Source organism: Homo sapiens, chromosome 4 (assembly GCF_000001405.40).
Source record: "Homo sapiens chromosome 4, GRCh38.p14 Primary Assembly".
Taxonomy (NCBI): domain Eukaryota; kingdom Metazoa; phylum Chordata; class Mammalia; order Primates; family Hominidae; genus Homo; species Homo sapiens.
Window position 1 is genome coordinate 75,859,506 of NC_000004.12, and position 17,630 is coordinate 75,877,135.

General features: G+C 42.5%; 1 protein-coding gene across 2 annotated transcripts in view; it reads right to left on the reverse strand.

The window, feature by feature from the left end:
* Positions 1 to 361: 361 nt before the first annotated feature.
* PPEF2 (protein phosphatase with EF-hand domain 2) overlaps positions 362 to 17,630 on the reverse strand; it is a 42,586-nt gene continuing 25,317 nt past the window's right edge. The window contains exons 11-17 of one of the 2 annotated variants that reach the window (NM_006239.3): positions 16,782 to 17,168; positions 13,622 to 13,807; positions 12,520 to 12,662; positions 7,808 to 7,914; positions 6,684 to 6,847; positions 4,935 to 5,022; positions 362 to 1,415 (exon numbers count right to left, since the gene is read on the reverse strand). In NM_006239.3, coding sequence (NP_006230.2) covers positions 1,162 to 1,415; positions 4,935 to 5,022; positions 6,684 to 6,847; positions 7,808 to 7,914; positions 12,520 to 12,662; positions 13,622 to 13,807; positions 16,782 to 17,168 — 1,329 coding nt within the window. In that variant the 3' untranslated portion in view covers positions 362 to 1,161. The remainder of the gene's footprint in view (positions 1,416 to 4,934; positions 5,023 to 6,683; positions 6,848 to 7,807; positions 7,915 to 12,519; positions 12,663 to 13,621; positions 13,808 to 16,781; positions 17,169 to 17,630) is intronic. The other variant, XM_011532039.3, reaches the window with a different exon arrangement.

Genomic DNA, 17,630 nt, shown 5'->3' on the forward strand with positions numbered 1-17,630 from the left:
CACCCGCCCAGCTAATTTTTTGTATTTTTTTAGTAGAGACGGGGTTTCGCCGTGTTAGCCAGGATGGTCTCGATCTCCTGACCTCGTGATCCGCCCGCCTCAGCCTCCTAAAGTGCTGGAATTACAGGCGTGAGCCACCGCGCCCGGCTGTTATCTAGGTTTTAAGCCCCGCATGCATTAGGTATTTGTCCTAACACTCTCCCTAGTGTTATTTCTAATAATGAAAAAGTGGAAATAATACACATGTTTAACAATTGGAGAAGGGCTGCATAGATTATAGCACATTCACTTCAAAGAAAATTATGCAAGCATTAAACTAATTATCATGAAGAATACAGAATCACAAGGGAAGCACATGGGAAAGGGTTTACAATTAGATATTAATTTATTTTTTTAAAAGTAGAACATAAAATTATATAAACACTACAGTAACAAGTAAGAAAAAGTAAATAATGAAGAAAATCCATATGCTTGGGTCATGGAATTACAATACAATTTTTAAAAATAACTTTCCTTTACCAATAGACATTGTTAAAGACAATAAATAAAAAGTATAAAATAGGCTGGGTGCGGTGGCTCATGCCTGTAATCCCAGCACTTTGGGAGGCTGAGGAGGGTGGATCACCTGAGGTTGGGAGTTCAAGACCAGCCTGACCAACATGGAGAAACCCTGTGTCTACTAAAAATACAAAATTAGCCTGGTGTGGTGGTGCATGCCTGTAATCCCAGCTACTCAGGAGGCTGAGGCAGGAGAATCGCCTGGGAGGCGGACTTTGCGGTGAGCCGAGATCGCGCCAATGCACTCCAGCCTGGGCAACAAGAGAGAAACTCCATCTCAAAAAAACGTATAAAATGAAAACAATGAGAGAGTTACATTGTCAGTGGTTCTTAACTGAAGTGGACTTTAGAATTTGAAAACACTATACCTAAGTTCTACTTTGTGAAGATTGTGAGGTGGGGTTGGGGCACTCATATACTTAAAACACATACATACACAACACCCCAACCCACCCCTCCACACTGAAATACACAGGTGATTCTGATGCATATGGATAGGTAAATTTTCAGCATAAAGTTTCACATGGAGAATAAGGGAGATAGTCTAGTGAGAAGCTGAGCATTGCCTATGAGGCACTTTGGGTGATGAAGACCAGGCTGTTCTTAGTGTGCACCTGGACTGCTGCAGCCACTGTCTTTAGCATTTGTAGCTTGTGGGCATTCTGAGGCATCGCCCTCTGGGCAGGATTTCTCCACAAGGCGGAAGGCCTCCAGGAACTCATTGATATCAATGTGGCCATCTTTGTTGAAATCAATGCTCCGAGCAAGGTCACAGATGCAGTCATCTGTAATGTCGATATTCATGTGAGAGCTGAACAGCTTCCAGGTCTGCCTGAACTCGTCCAGTGAGATGAACCCTTATCAGAGGGAGGAAATCACTTCAGTGAGTTAGTCTAGTTTTTAATGTTCATTTTCTCTGACATTCTTACAAGGACACCTGCTCCCTACTGCTCAACAGAGAGACACACAAATCCTAGTATCTAATTTAAACTCCCAAGAGGATCACACAAACCCACTGGCTCACCAATGATTTTCAGCTGGGAGTAATTGTGCTCCCCTCCCTCCAGGGGACATTTGGCAATGTCTGGAGACATTGTTGTTTGTTATGACTAAGATGGAGGTGAGGTGCTACTGGCATCTAATAAATAAAGGCCAGACATGCTGCCAAACATCTTATAATGCACAAGATGGACCCTAAAACAAAGAATTATCAACAGTACCACTGTTGAGAAACCCTGCATTTAATCATCTCAAACATATCCTAATTTATTCTGGCCATTAAAATCCTCTGGACCCCATACATCTATAGTCAATTGATTTTTTTACAAGGGTCCCAAGATCATTTAATGGGGAAAGAATAGTTTTTTTCAACAATGATGGGGGACAAGCAGATATTCACATGCAAAAAGAGTAAAGCTAGATACCTACCTAACACTATATAAAAAAAACTAACTCTATATGGATCAAAGACCTAAATGTAAGAGCTAAAACTCTAAAACTCTTAGAAGCAAACATAAGTGTAAATCTTTGTGATCTTAGGTTATGCAACAGTTTTTTTTTTTTTGAGAGGGAGTCTCGCTCTGTCACCCAGGCTGGAGTGCAGTGGCACAATCTCAGCTCACTACAAGCTCTGCCTCCTGGGTTCACGCCATTCTCCTGCCTCAGCCTCCCGAGTAGCTGGGACTACAGGCACCCGCCACCACTCCCGGCTAATTTTTTGTATTTTTAGTAGAGACGGGGTTTCACCATGTTAGCCAGGATGGTCTCGATCTCCTGACCTCGTGATCCACCTACCTCGGCCTCCCAAAGTGCTGGGATTACAGGCGTGAGCCACCGTGACTAGCCTATGCAACAGTTTTATAGCTAAAAAAAGCTATAACACCAAAAGCATAAACAACAAAAAAAAAAATAAATTGGACTTTTTCAAAATTAAAAACTTTTGGGTATCAGGCTGGTCGCAGTGGCTCACGCCTGTAATCCCAGCACTTTGGGAGGCAGAGGTGGGCAGATCACAAGGTCAGGAGTTTAAGACCAGTCTGGCCAATATGGTGAAACCCCGTCTCTACTAAAAATACAAAAATTAGCTGGGCATGGTGGCAGGTGCCTGTAGTCCCAGCTACTCAGCAGGCTGAGGCAGAAGAATTGCTTGAACCCAGGAGGCGGAGGTTGCAGTGAGCCAAGATCGTACCACTGCACTCCAGCCTAGGTGACAGAGCGAGACTCCATCTCAAAAAAAAAAAAAAAAAAAAAAAAAAAAAACTTTCGGGCATCAAAGGACACTACCAAGAAAGTGAAAAGACAATCCACAAAATCAGAAAAAAAATTTGCAAGGCATATGTCTGATACTATCCTAGTACCCAGAATATATGAATAACTCTTACAACTCAAATAAAAAGACAAATAGCCCAATTTAAAAATGGACAAAGGATTTGAATAGACATTTCTCCAAAAGAGATATACAAATGGCCAATAAGCACATGAAAATGTTCAACATCATTAGTTATTAAGGAAATGAAAGTCAAAACCGCAGAATGGGTATAATAAAAACTAAAAAAAAACCCCACAAAAAACAAAAATGGAAAATAACAAGCATTGGTGAGGATGTAGAGAAACTGGAACCCTCATACATTGTTGGTGGCAATATAAATATGTACAGCTACTGTGAGAAATGATTTGGTAATTCCTCAAAAAGTTAAACATAGAATCACCATATGACCAGGCAATTACACTCCTAGATATAAACCCAAGAAAACTGAAAACACATATTGACACAAAAAGTCACACATGAATGTTCATAGCAGCATTGTTCATAATAGCCAAAAGTAGAAACAATCCAAAGTCAATCAACTAATGACTGGATAAATAAAAGTTCTGTCCACACAGTGGAATATTATTCAGTCATAAAAAAGGAATGAAAAACTGATACTGCTGCAACATGGATGAATCTTGAACACAGGCTAGGTGACATAATCCAGACACCAAAGGCCATATTTTGACTCCATTTATATCAAATGTCCAGAACAGGCAAATCCATAGAGACAGAAAGTAGATTAGTGGTTGCCAGGGACTCGTGGAGGAGGGATAGGGAATGAGGAGTAATTGCTAATAGGTATGAGATTTCTTTCTGGGGTGATTAAAATGTTCTAGGCCAGGTGCAGTGGTTCACGCCTGTAATCCCAGCACTTTGGGAGATCTAGGTGGGTGAATCACGAGGTCAGGAGATCGAGACCATCCTGGCTAACATGGTGAAATCCTGTCTCTACTAAAAATACAAAAAAAAAAAAAAAATAGCCAGGTGTGGTGGCACACGCCTGTAGTCCTAGCTACTCAGGAGGCTGAGGCAGGAGAATCACTTGAACCCGGGAGGTGGAGGTTGCAGTGATCCGAGATTGTGCCACTGCACTCCAGCTTGGGTGACAGAGGGAGACTCCGTCTCAAAAAAAAAAAAAAAAAAAGTTATAAAATTAGATAGTGGTGATGGTTACACAATCTTGTGACTATACTGAGAACCACTAAGTTGCATACTTCATACAGGTGAATTATATGGTTTGTGAATTATGCCTTAAAAGAAACCAATAATAACATTGAAAAAAGCCTTTGGACCATTGCGGGAACAGGATGAGGATGTACAGGACCTCACCATATTTTTTTTTATAACTTCCTGTGAATCTATAATTATTTCAAAATTTAAAGTTAAAAAAAACATTTTGAGAGTGAGGTTGCAAACACCTTTCTATTCTAAGCACTTTTCATTACTTTGTGGCTATCTTCGATGGTAATATAAAGGATATCACATCTTTCTTTCTTTCTTCTTTTTTTTTTTTTCCGCGACAGAGTCTCACTCTGTCGCCGAGGCTGGAGTCCAGTGGCACGACCTCGGCTCACTGCAACCTCCGCCTCCCGGGTACAAGCAATTCTCCTGCCTCAGCCTCCCAAGTACCTGGGATTACGGACATGTGCCACCATGCCCGCCTAATTTTTGTGTTTTTAGTAGAGACTGGGTTTCTTCATGTTGGCCAGACTGGTCTCGAACTCCTGACTTCAGGTGATTCACCTGCCTCAGCCTCCCAAAGTGCTGGGATTAAGGCAGGAGCCACCATGTCCAGAGGATATCACATCTTCTAATAATTATTCTTCCTATAAGAAGCTCTCATTCAGTTTGTCTTCATTCTTCTCTGCCCCACTTCTTTCTCTATGGGCTGCTGATACTACTCAAGTACTTTCCTAGTTTCTGTCATTTATAAGCACTAATCTTCTTACCTTGCTCTCCAAATGCCTGAGTGGAGATGAATGAGGATGAATCAGGAAGGAGATTAAGGGTTTAAGGTAAAATACTTGCAGTGCTTCAAAAGTGATAGAATAATGAGTGCCTTTACCTGAATGATCACTGTCTATGATCCTAAAAATGGTCTCTAGGTTGGATCGGTTTCGATACAATGTTTCCAGCAAACTTGATTGTATGTTCTGCAAGAAAAAATTCATTTTCCTTCTTTGTCATACGTTTAGACTTGTTCCAATATATAATTAACACACAATCAACCCTGACAATCACACATTCTTGAAAAAACCTGAAAATATTTTGCCATCCCTCCATTCCCTCTACCCAGTTCAGCCCATCAAATAATCTAGTGGTTTAAGAAGCACCTCACCCATGATGAAAATCTTCTAAAATTGACTGGTGATGGTTGCACATACAGGTTGTGTATGCCTTGTCTGAAATGCTTGGGACCAGAAATGTTGTGAATTTTGGATTTTTTCGGACATTGTAATATTTACATGTACATAATGAGATATCTTGGGTATAGGACCCAAGTTTAAACATAAAATTAATTTTTGTTTCATATACACCTTATACATCTAGCCTGAATGTAATTTTTGTTTGTTTGTTTTCAGATGGAGTTTCACTCTTGTTGTCCAGGCTGGAGTGCAATGGCCCAATCTCAGCTCACTGCAACCTCCGCCTCCCGGGTTCAAGCGATTCTCCTGTCTCGGCCTCCCAAGTAGCTGGGATTACAGACATGCACCACCATGCCCGGCTAATTTTTGTATTTTTAGTAGAGACGGGGTTTCTCCATTTTGGTCAGGCTAGTCTCGAACTTCCGACCTCAGGTGATCTGCCCGCCTCGGTCTCCCAAAGTGCTGGGATTACAAGCATGAGCCACCGCGCCTGGTTGCCTGAAGGTAATTTTATAAAATATTTTTAATAATTTTGTGCATGAAACAAACTTTGCATACATTGAACCATCAGAAAGCAAAGGTGTCAGATGTGGAATTTTTCACTTGTGGCATCGTGTTGGCACTCAAAAAGTTTTGGACTTTGGAGCCTTTCAGATTTGTTTTTTTAAACAGAGTCTTGCTGTGTTGCCCAGGCTGGAGTGCAGTGGCATGGTCTTGGCTCACTGCAACCTCTGCCTCCTGGGTTCAAGCAATTCTCCCACCTCGCCTCCCAATAGCTGGGTCTACAGGCATATGCCACCACAGCCAGCTAATTTTTGTATTTTTAGAAGAGACGGGGTTTCATCGTGTTGGCCAGGCTGGTCTCGAACTCCTGGCCTCAAGTGATCCACCCTCCTCAGCCTCCCAAAGTGCTAGGATTACAGGAGTGAGCCACCGCACCCAGCTGAATTATACACTTTAAATGGATGAATTGCATGGTATGTAAATTATATTGCAGTAACACTGTTAAAAGAAGTACCTAGCCCAAGGTTGCACATACGTTACATATTTTATAAGCAGTTATTGAATAAATACTTTTTAAGTAGGGTAAGCACCATGGTGTTGAAGAAAGAAAATGGGCCTTGAGGTAAGACAGACCTTGGCTTGAGTCCCAACTTAGTCGTTCTATGACCTCAGGCAAGTTGCTAACCTCTGTGGGCAGTGTCCTCATACGTGTAATGGTGCTGATAATATGTACTTCTTGGAGTGGTTTTGAGGATTAACTGAGGCAATGTATGAAAACCACTTAACACAAAAGCCTGACACATAGAAACTCAAGAAATAGTTATTCCCCTTTCTCACCCATCCAGCTTTTTGGGTTATTACTAGTTGGTTGTTTCTGAATCAAATTCTCTCTAAGGAGTATCATAGTCCACATGTGCTCTCATCCACCATTACCACACCGTTACCTCGCGACTCAGTTGTTCCTTGGCCAAGTTCTTCAGCCAAGACTTGTACTCCAGCATGTTGTCTGCTGAGCTGTTCACCAGCTGTGGCCTCAGCATCCGCCATGGCAGTCCTAGGTGCAACACAGACTCCACCGCTGCTGCCCAGTCACTCAAGGTGATTAAACCTACAGGTGAGAGCTAACCTGTTGCCTTGTCACCTAGAAGTCTAGTTTCCTGCCCAATGGTGTGTATATTTTTATCCTGACATCCTTCTTACTATCTGCAGGTAATAGAAATAATGGGCACTGTCACTATTTTTGTTGATAGTAGCAGAGTTGGCTGGAAGCTAGGCTTGCCAGATAAAATACAAGATGTCCAGTTAAATTTTAATTGAAGACAGACAGTAAAGTATATAAAAGTGCCAAATATTGCATAAAAATTATTTGTTGTCTGTTTGTCTGTAATTCAAACTTATTGAGGCATTTTACATTTTTGTTTACTAAATCTGGCAATACTTCTGCAAGCCACATAAAAGTCTTGTAAATGATATCATAAAATATTATATATCTACAGCATTGGTTATTTAAAAAAAATTAAACCACCTAAATTCCTTAGAATATATCCACTGAAACTCTTGGAAGGCTACAGTATGTGTACGTGAAAAGATATTACTATGAATTCATAAATGTTACTGCTGTTTTTAAATAGGAATATATTTTGTCAATGTCCATTAGAAATTCCATTAGTTGAGCAGACAACATTTTTAGCTTGGATAATAAATCATGAAATACCTAGGTAAACAAAGACTCAGCTTCAACAACTCAAGTCATTCATCTTTTGCCAGTCTTATACTCTTATAACTTCTCCCACTTGTTCTTTGCTTGGTTCTGGCCATGTTATCCTTCCCTGACTCTATTTGTTTTCACCCTCTCTATTTGGCTAAGTTCATATTTTGTTAAAAGCTTACAATTTTAAAATTTAGTTAGAATAAATGAGACATTAAGTTGAATAAAATGGAGGATATAGCCAAAGGGAACTTTGGGTCACTCATTAAAGCAACAAATATTTATTTGCTAACTAGTGTAAGACAGAGATTTTCTGGCTAGCTTCCTTCCTCTGTGAATCTTTAACTTGATCATTCTTACCGACTTTATCTGCATCATGCTTCTTAAATTCACTGAGAAGATCTGAAGAATGAGCAAACAGCTTCTCCCTCAGAGCTCTCAGAGCCGACTCCTCCACTCTGCTAATCCTGGGACAGGAGATGAAAAGCGACATTTTAACACACTGGTATAGAAAAAATACTTAGAGATTTTACTATATTTCCACTCTCTCTTTCTTAACATATCAGTCTCCCAAGAGCTCAGTTTTCGAGGGAGAGCGCCTTTACTCTTCCCTGTTGTACACAAACAGGATGAGTATGGGGAATGCCGCTGTCCTTCCTGGTATGGGACAGTGGTTAGAGAAGAAGTTCTGGAGAAGGATCACCTCTGTGGTAAAGTTATCTAATCATCCTTTGCTTCAGTTTTCCCACCTGTAAAACAGTGATTAAAATGGTACCTGTCTCCACTTCACAGGATTATTGTGAAGATTACAATGAGTAATTTCATGTACAGCACTTAGAAGAAAGCCTGGCACATAGAAAGCACTCACCAAATAGTATCTATTATCACAACTGTTGTGCATTTCTTGTAATTTATTATCATGTGAAACAGAAGGCAAAATTTATGAATAACAAAATAACACTAGTTTAGTTTTTTCATTCTTATTGGGTCAATAGAGTAATGCTGGGCACAGTACTTGGCCCAAAGTAAGTGCTCAATAAATATCTGTAGTTGAATGAACAAGAATATAAAAAGAGGCTTGGCGTGGTGGCTCATGCCTGTAATCCCAGCACTCTGGGAGGCCAAGGTGGGTGGATTCCTTGAGCCCAGGAGTTCGAGACCAGCCTTGGCAACATGGCAAAACCCCCCTCTCTACTCAAAGTACAAAAAAAAAATTAGCCAGGCGTGGTGGCGTGTCCCTGTAGTCCCAGATGCTTGTGGGGCTGAGGTGGGAGGATCACTTGAACCCAGGAGGTAGAGGCTGCAGTGAGCCAAGATCACACCACTGCACTCCAGCCTGGGTGAAAAAGTAAGACCCTGTCTCAAAAAAAAAAAAAAAAAGAATATAAAAAGAGATAAAAGGTAAGCATACGTTACTTGTAATGTCTTATTGAGGAACCAATCATTCTATAAATAATGACCAGATAACCTATCTTTTCCCGTGTTAAAAGTTAAAAAAAATTAAATCATGTTTGATGAAAATCTTACTGCAATTGAAGGCATTTAACATGACAGTCTTTAAGTGGGCTACATAGATCCTTAGAAGAGTGTGAACCTAGCCTGGCATGGTGGCACGTGCCTATGGTCCCAGCTACTTGGGAAGCTAAGGTGGGGAAATCACCTGAGCCTGGGAGGTCGAGGCTGCAGTGAGCCAAGATCATGCCACTGCACTCCAGCCTGGACAACCAGAATGAGACCCTGTCTCAAAAAACACAAAAAACTGTGAACCAGTTAGGCATGGTGGCTCATGCCTATAATCCCAGCACTTTGGGAGGCTGAAGCGGGAGGATCACTTGAGGCCAGGAGCTCAAGACCACCCTGGGCAACACAGCTAGGCTGGGTTTCTTTACAAAAAAAACTTTTAAAAATTAGCCAGGCATGGTGGTGCATGCCTGTAATCTCAGTTACTTGGGAGACTATGGCAGGAGGATTGCTTGAGCCCAGGAGTTCGAGGTTACAGTAAGCTATCTATGATCATGCTACTATACCCTGGCCTTGGTGACAGAGCAAGGCCCTGTCTCTACAAAAGGAAAAGAAAGTGTGAACCACCTAAAACTCACCCCAAATTTCACAGGTATGTGAGCATATGTGAATTTTTTGTAGACAGTTTGTTGTTTTATCAGAGGCTAACAGAAGTATGGGACTCCTAAAAAGTTTAAGAACCACTAGTTAGACAAAGCATTTAAGCTGCTCCTGGTAATCTGTAGTCATGGAGAGTTATGCAGGGATGGAGTAGGGCAATGCCCTTGAAAGCTATCTGGATGTACAAGGCTTTCCTGTCCCTACGTCAAGTAACACTTAGTAAGCACTTACTAAATGCAGAGCTCTACATGGATTATCTCATTAAATCCCTCAACACTCATTGAAGAAAGAACGATAACATGAAGTCCATTATGCCCATTACAGACAGAGATAGTAATTAGGTCGAGGTCACATAGCTACCAAGGAGTGAGGCCAGATACCTATCTGGCTATGCTGGCTCCAAGCTGGCTCTCTATTATTGTGAGAAGTGGATTGAAACAAAAAGTAAATGGACTCTGACTGAGGATTCCTCTAAGAAGAGCATGTTATCAGGCCAGGCATGGTGGCTCGCACCTGTAATCCTAGCACTTTGGGAGGCCAAGGCAGGAGGATCACTTGAGCTCAGGAGTTTGAGACCAGCCTGGGCAGAATAGTGAGACTTCGTCTCTACAAAAAATTTAAAAAATTAGCTGGGCATGATGGCGCACGCCTGTAGTACCAGGTGTGAGGTAGCTGAAGTGGGAGGATCTCTTAAGACTAGCAGGTCGAGGCTGCAGTGATCTGTCATCCTGCCACTGTACTACAGCCTGGGTGACACAGCGAGACCCTGTCTCACAAAAAGAAAAAAAAAAAGAAAAAAGAAAAACAAGGATGTTATCTTCGGTTTATGGACATTGAGACATCATCAATTATGGCTGCTCAGAGACATTTCCCTCCTTTTTTCTAAGTTCTCCATTATGCTTCATACAGTTGAAGTCACTGGATAAGTGATTTCTGGGTAAATCAGGTGATGTTGTACTTATTTAATGCAATCAATGAAGGTTTCAAAGAGTTGAATGCTTTTTGACTATCTTATTGAAACACACTATTCACTGTAGGGAATCCTACATTACTATTACATTACTACATTACTATTACTACTGTAGGGAATCCTAGAGTGACTCTTTTTGCAGTGACAACCCCTAAATCCTATGGGATCATAGTTCTGCACTCCAGGTACCAGGGCTCACCCCTGGAGATTCTAATTTGGTAGGGCTGGATGAGGCTCAAATGGCTGATTTTTTATAAAGCTCCAAGATGATTTTGCTGCACAGTAGGTCTGACATTCACTTGGTAGGTTTATATTTTTACATAATTCTTCTTTTTAAGTGAGGCTGGCCTATATTTAATAACTTGAGAATGATTTAAAATAATGCACTTTTACAGCACTCACACAAGGGTAAATGCTAAATACTAACATGTTCTCTATCCACCTGATTTATGCTAGTTTTGCCGATCTTAATTTCTAACTCTGTTAGGCTGAATACTTAAAGAAGCATGTTCAATAGCACTAAAACTGTATCTGTTAGCATCTTATATACTCTGAGGCCATCTTCGTTGTAGGAGGCAATATTGCATAGACATTAAAAGTGTGGGTTCTGAAATAGAATTGCCTCGGTCAAGGACTACCTTCACTCAAGGACTAGCTGTGTGACCACAGGTCAGATGATTTAACATCGGTTCTTTAATAATCTCTTCTACAAAACTGAAATTAATAACAATATCTGTTGCATAAATTTACTGTGAGGCTACCCATATAAATTCTTTATAACATTTTGTGGTTGTAATCTCTCAACTAAGAACTCAGAATCATCTCAAAAGCTACCATTTATTTATTTATTTATTTATTTATTTTTATTTTACTTTATTTTATTTTATTTTTGAGATGGAGGCTTGCTCTGTCGCCCAGGCTGGAGTGCAGTGGTGCGATCTCGGGTCACTGCAACCTCCAACCTCCTGGGTTCCAGCAATTCTCCTGCCTCAGCTTCCCGTGTAGCTGGGATTACAGGCGTGTACCACCACGCCTGGCTAATTTTTTTGTATTTTTAGTAGAGACAGGGTTTCACCATGTTGGCCAGGCCAGTCTCAAACTCCTGACCTCCAATCATCCACCCGCCTCAGCCTCCCAAAGTGCTGGGATTACAGGCGTGAGCCACCGCGCCCGGCCAAAATCTACCATTCGAGTAGTATTATATGCTTCCTTCCAGAAAGAAACGGGCCTCATTAACAAATCTGTGCACTGAATTTCACCTGCAAAATCTCCAGACAGTGAAAGAACCTCTGGCTGTGGCTTGTAGGGGTAACACAAACCCGTTAAAGATGAGAGAAAATAGAAGAGTAACCTCAGAAAGACTTAGTGGTTTAGTAAGCAGACTTTACCCAAGACGCAGCCATGGAGAATAATTTCTTCTTCTTCTTTTTGTTTTTCTTGTTTTTTTGAGACAGCCTTGCTCTGTCACCCAGGCTGGAGGGCAGTGGCACAATCTTGGCTCACTGCAAACTCTACCTCCCAAGCTCAAGCCATCCTCCCACCTCAGCCTCCCAAGTAGCTGGGACTACAAGAGTACGCCACCACATCAGGCTAATTTTTGAATTTTTTGTAGAGATGGGGTTTTGCCATGTTGCCCAGGCTGGTCTGGAATTCCTGGGCTCAAACTATCCTTCTGCCTTAGTCTGCCAGACTGCTGGGATTACAGGCATGAGCCACTGTGCCCCACTGAGAATAATTTCTGCAGAAAACAAATTTGTTGCTCCCATTAATGATGGGTAGATAGAGCTATTAGGAGTGTGTGGAGGAGAAGGAAGAGACTCCTACTCTAATGTCTATTGTATTAATAGAACTTCATGCTGACATAGCCAAATTCTGAATTCTCACGTAGAATTTGAATAAATATAACGTTTGACACTTCATTCAAAGATTCTATGAACACTATAATTTTTTTTTCTGAAAATCACTCATTGAAAAGTCTTGCCTTTGCCTCATGGTGAGTGTGTGGGTCACCTTGTTAGCTTGATACTGCACAATATGTGGGGTCAGGGCTGGCCCCAGTTTGACATAGGCCCCTCTGTTGCTGCCAACTTCATAGTAGTTGGAGGCAGAAAAGATTGTTAATACCTACATCAAAACAGAAGAGAGACAGGTGTTCACATTCACTGAAGAAACCTTCACCCTCAATCCTATGTGGCCCAACTCAACTGCAGAAGCTGCTGTTTCTCCTAGTGCTCATCTGGGAATCCTTTTCTTTCTTTCTTTCTTTCTTTTTTTCTAAAGGCATCAATGCTAATAGGGCAAGAGTTGTGACTCAAGTCATAGAAATTTGAATTCCGATAGTTTCACAATGTATCTTCTTCACATTTTTATCCCAAGTGAAAATAGCAAGGGTCATAGAAAACACCATATTTGCTTCAACTTAGAGGCAAGCTGGGTCTGATAAACCAGGATGGCCATTACAATGAGCAAGAAGATGAGTTCTGAGAGCTGATGTGGTGCCTTAAAGCAGTTTTCTACGGAATGTTGTGGCTCCTCAGATGGTGTATGAAAAAAGTTTTCACAGTCAATACGTTGGGAAATGCTAGATACTGTATCTCTTCCTGAGGATTTACAGTGGTAGGAAACTAAAGGTACTCAGAAGTCCTGCAATAAAGAAACTTGTACAATATAACCAGTGGTATTAGGTGAGACAAATATTGTAGGATTTGGAGATGTCCAAAGATTAGTCAGGATGTTAATTGTGCTCCTGAGAAGACAAATGAGCCTGAATCCCTGCCTGGGGAGCGACCTGAAGAATAGAGGTGTGGCTGAGAAAACACTGGCCTCATATTTCCATTCATAAAATGGGACCATGTCAGTCAGGGCATTGGTGGACAGTGGCCTTAATCAAACTTTGGGTTTTAAAGAGGACATAAGAGTCAAGGATAAATGACTGTAAAGGACCTAGTTGCTTTGAGCAAGTAGGTAACAAATACAAGGTCTGTAGGTTGTTAGAAACTGAGAGCCTTTGCTCATCCAGGCCTGAGCCCTTCGGACTACTTTGGTGACACACAAGCCTGTACTGCTGCAGAGGGAGCACCCACCTTGCGGTTGTGACAGAATTCATAGCCTTCAGGTTTGCATTCATGTGAACGGATCAGGAATTGCATGTTGTATTTTTGTAGCAACTGTTGTGTCACATCAGGCCCAAAATAACAGCCTCCTCCTCGAATAGTGTTGGCCTTGCAGCCCTCTTGAGCCATGGGATCACTCCACAGGATATCTACAACCTGAGAAGACCAAGAGATGATTTCCTTCCCAAAAACTAGATACATATTCATCCACAGTCATTCAAATGAAAGGAAGAGGAGGAGGAAAATATTTGAATAAAAATAAGTGAATAAATGTCCATGCAAGCAATATTTGACATACATTTATATTTTGGACCTCTAAGGTTCCAGAATTTCTTATTACTCACAAAATGAATGTGTGCGTGCCTACATATTTGTCGACAAGCATATACCCACTTTCTTGAAAATAAATCTGATATGAAAGCTCAATATGTAAAACAGATGAAGTTGTCCTGCTAGAAGCTTTGATCATGGCCAGTAGTTGTCAGTCAGTGCCAATGCTCCAGGCTACTGGACATTTGCCCTAAAGAGAAGGCGCAAGTCCTGGGACTGGCAAGAGAGTCTCTTGCATATTCACAAGACCCCAGACGTGGTCCTGGGAAAATGCAATCGACATTTTATTTCTTAAAGTAGTTTAAGAATTTTTTTTTTTTTTTACAAATTGCAGAAGAGGCCAGGCATGGTGGCTAACACCTGTAATCCCAGTAGTTTGGGAGGCTGAGGTAGGTGGACCATTTGAGGTCAGGAGTTCAAGACCAGCCTGGTCAACATGTGAAATCCCGTCTTTACTAAAAATACAAAAAAATGAGCCAGGCATGGAGGCACACACCTGTAATCCCAACTATTCAGGAGGCTGAGGCAGGAGAATCACTGTAACCCGGAAGAGGGAAGTTGCAGTGAGCAGAGATCGTGCCACTGCACTCCAGCCTGGGTGACAGAGCGAGACTCCACCTCAAACAAACAAACAAACAAACAAATAAATAAATAAATAAATAAATAATTGCAGAAGAGTTGAGCAATTTTTCTAGCACTTCAGTTTCTACTCTATTATTAATACTCAGGAAAACAATAACTGCCAGTCATACAATACTCAGATGAAATAACTGAATAATTTTGGTTATTGTCATTTAATACTTTCTTTTCTTTTGTTTTTTTTTTTTGAGACAGAGTCTCACTCAGTTGCCCAGGCTGGAGTGCAGTGGTGCAATCTCGGCTCACTGCAACCTCTGCCTCCCAGGTTCAAGCGATTCTCCTGCCTCAGTCTCTCGAGTAGCTGAGATTACAGGCGTGTGCCACCATGCCCAGCTAATTTTTGTATTTTTTAGTAGAGACAGGATTTCACCATGTTAACCAGAGTCTGTTCTCGAATTCCTAACCTCAGATGATCCTCCCACCTCAGCCTCCCAAAGTGCTGGGATTACAGGCGTGAGCCACCACACTTAGCCAACATTTAATGCTTTCTAAAAGTACTTTTGTAAAAGAAAAACTTCATTCGATTTGTAAAGATCAAGACATTAACACTGAGTCAGTTTGCAAAAGGAAAGACCTATACTTTATAATTTCAATTCTAAATTGGTGTTGAAGCCCAGATCAATAACTGACAGAACATTAACTAAACTCACCATCTCTTTCTCCGAGGCTTCTAGACTCAGAGTCAGCTGCAACTTCTCTTTCTCACTACCCTCCATCCAATCAATCAGCAAGTTCTGCTAATTTTAGCTCTTAAATAATTCTGAATTTCTTTCTTTCTTTTTTTTTTTTTTTTTGAGACGGAGTCTCGCTCTGTCGCCCAGGATGAAGTGCAGTGGCACGATCTCGGCTCACTGCAAGCTCTGCCTCCTGGGTGCGTGACATTCTCCTGCCTCAGCCTCCCGAATAGCTGGGACTACAGGCACCCACCACCATGCCTGGCTAATTTTTTTTTGTATTTTTAGTAGAGACGGGGTTTCACCGTGTTAGCCAAGGATGGTCTCTATCTCCTGACCTCGTGATCCGCCTGTCTCAGCCTCCCAAAGTGCTGGGATTATAGGCATGAGCCACTGCGCCCGGCTGAATTCATTTCTTTATTGGGTGAACTGTATGAGATTGCCATTCTAATGGGTCAGAAATGGTTGAATACCAGCAAGTTCCTATAATTCTGTTAACACTACTACAGGCCAGGCACAGCAGCTCAGGCTGGGTGCAGTGGCTCACGTCTGTAATCCCAGCACTTTGGGAGGCCAAGGTGGGTGATTGCTTGAGCCTCAGGGGTTCAAGACCAGCCTGGGCAACATGGTGAAATGCTATCTCTTCAAAAAATACAAAAATTAGCCAGGCATGGTGGTGCACACCGGTAGTCCCAGCTACTGGGGAGGCTGAGGTAGGAGGATCATCTGAGCCTGGGAAGTACAGGCTGCAGTGAGTCATGATCATGCCACTGTACTCCAGCCTGGGCAACTGGAGTGACATTGTCTCAAAGAAAAACAAAAACAAAAACAAAACAAGCTCACAATAATCATCTCCCACCTGGATGGCTACAACAGCCTTTTCAGGGCTCTCTCTGCCATAGTCATCATCGGTGAAGTCGGCTGCCTAAGCCATCTATTTTGGCAAGTAATGTTAGCGCCTACTCAATGTCCATTCTCCTCTTCCTTCTTCCGTACTGACAGAACTGCGGGTTTGGGGTGGCAGGGTGCCTCGCTGCATACTACTTACTCTCCAAGTCTCCCCTGCAGCTAGGGGTGGCCATGTGACCCAGTTCTAGAGATCTGGGGACAGCTCTTGCCTGGTAACAGAGGAAAGAAGCTGCTGCCTAGCCCTTTTGGCCTTGAACTATGGCAGCTATATTACTGACACATTAAAAAAAATAGCACACAATAGCATCCAACAAATCATAGCTTATCTTCTTACCCTACTAGTGCTCAATCACTAACCCAAGTATCATCAGGCAATAGAGCCTAACAGCCACACATCCCCATCTTTTATAAAACTCTAAAACATATGAGTCATTAGGCAAATACTAGTGTCCTTCTGGGGTGTTGTTACCCCAGAAAGAGAAAGAGGGGCCTCAAAACATATCCTGAGTTTCCCTGGAAGGGAGAGTTTTGACCTGTTGGCAGCCACATGCTAGGAAGCAGCGCCTGGCCACGCTCACCTGCCTCCACTCCTCCTGAGTGGGCTTCCGCAGCTCTCCGGCTTCAGAGTCTGCTTCTGAGGCTGAGCGGGAGGGCTCCTCTTTCTCTCCGGTCACCAGGAGGCCTGCTTGCTGCCGGCACCGCTCTAGCTCCAGTTCCACGGAGCTCCGCACCTGCCGGGAGAGCTCCCGCCCGTCCAGGGAACCGCTGCAGGGGATGCTGGAGGACCTGCTGGTTTTCTGGGCCTTGTAGGAGCCAAGCCGAAGGGGCGAAGAGGGAAGAGAGCGGCTTTCGGGGAGAAACCATGGGATGGGTCCCTGTGCAGAGCTCTTCTGGTTGGCTCTTCTCTTCTCCTCCATCTGCTTCTCACTCTTCTGTCTCGTTTTGCACCTCATGGTGGAAACTATCTAAACACGTCCAGAAAGAGATACAGATGCTGGAATGAAACTGTAGGCCCAGACAGGTGTGGTGGCCCACTCCTGTAATCCTAGAACTTTGGGAGACTGAGCCCAGCAGAACACTCAAGCCCGGGAGTTCAAGACCAGCTTGAGCAACATGGCAAGACCGTGTCTCTACAAAAAATACAAAAAAATGAGCTGGTCATGGTGGCACATGCCTGTAGTCCCAGCTACTAGGGAGGCTGAGGTGGGAGGATCACTTGAGCCCAGAAGGTCAAGGCTGCAGTAAACTGAGATTGAACCACTGCACTCCAGCCTGAGCAACAGAGGGAGACCCTGAAAAAAGAAAGAAAGAAAGAAAGAAAGAAAGAAAGAAAAGAAACAGAGAAGCCAGGTGCGGTGGCTCACGCCTGTAATCCCAGCACATTGGGAGCCCGAGGCAGGCTGATCACCTGCCTGAATTGGGAGTTC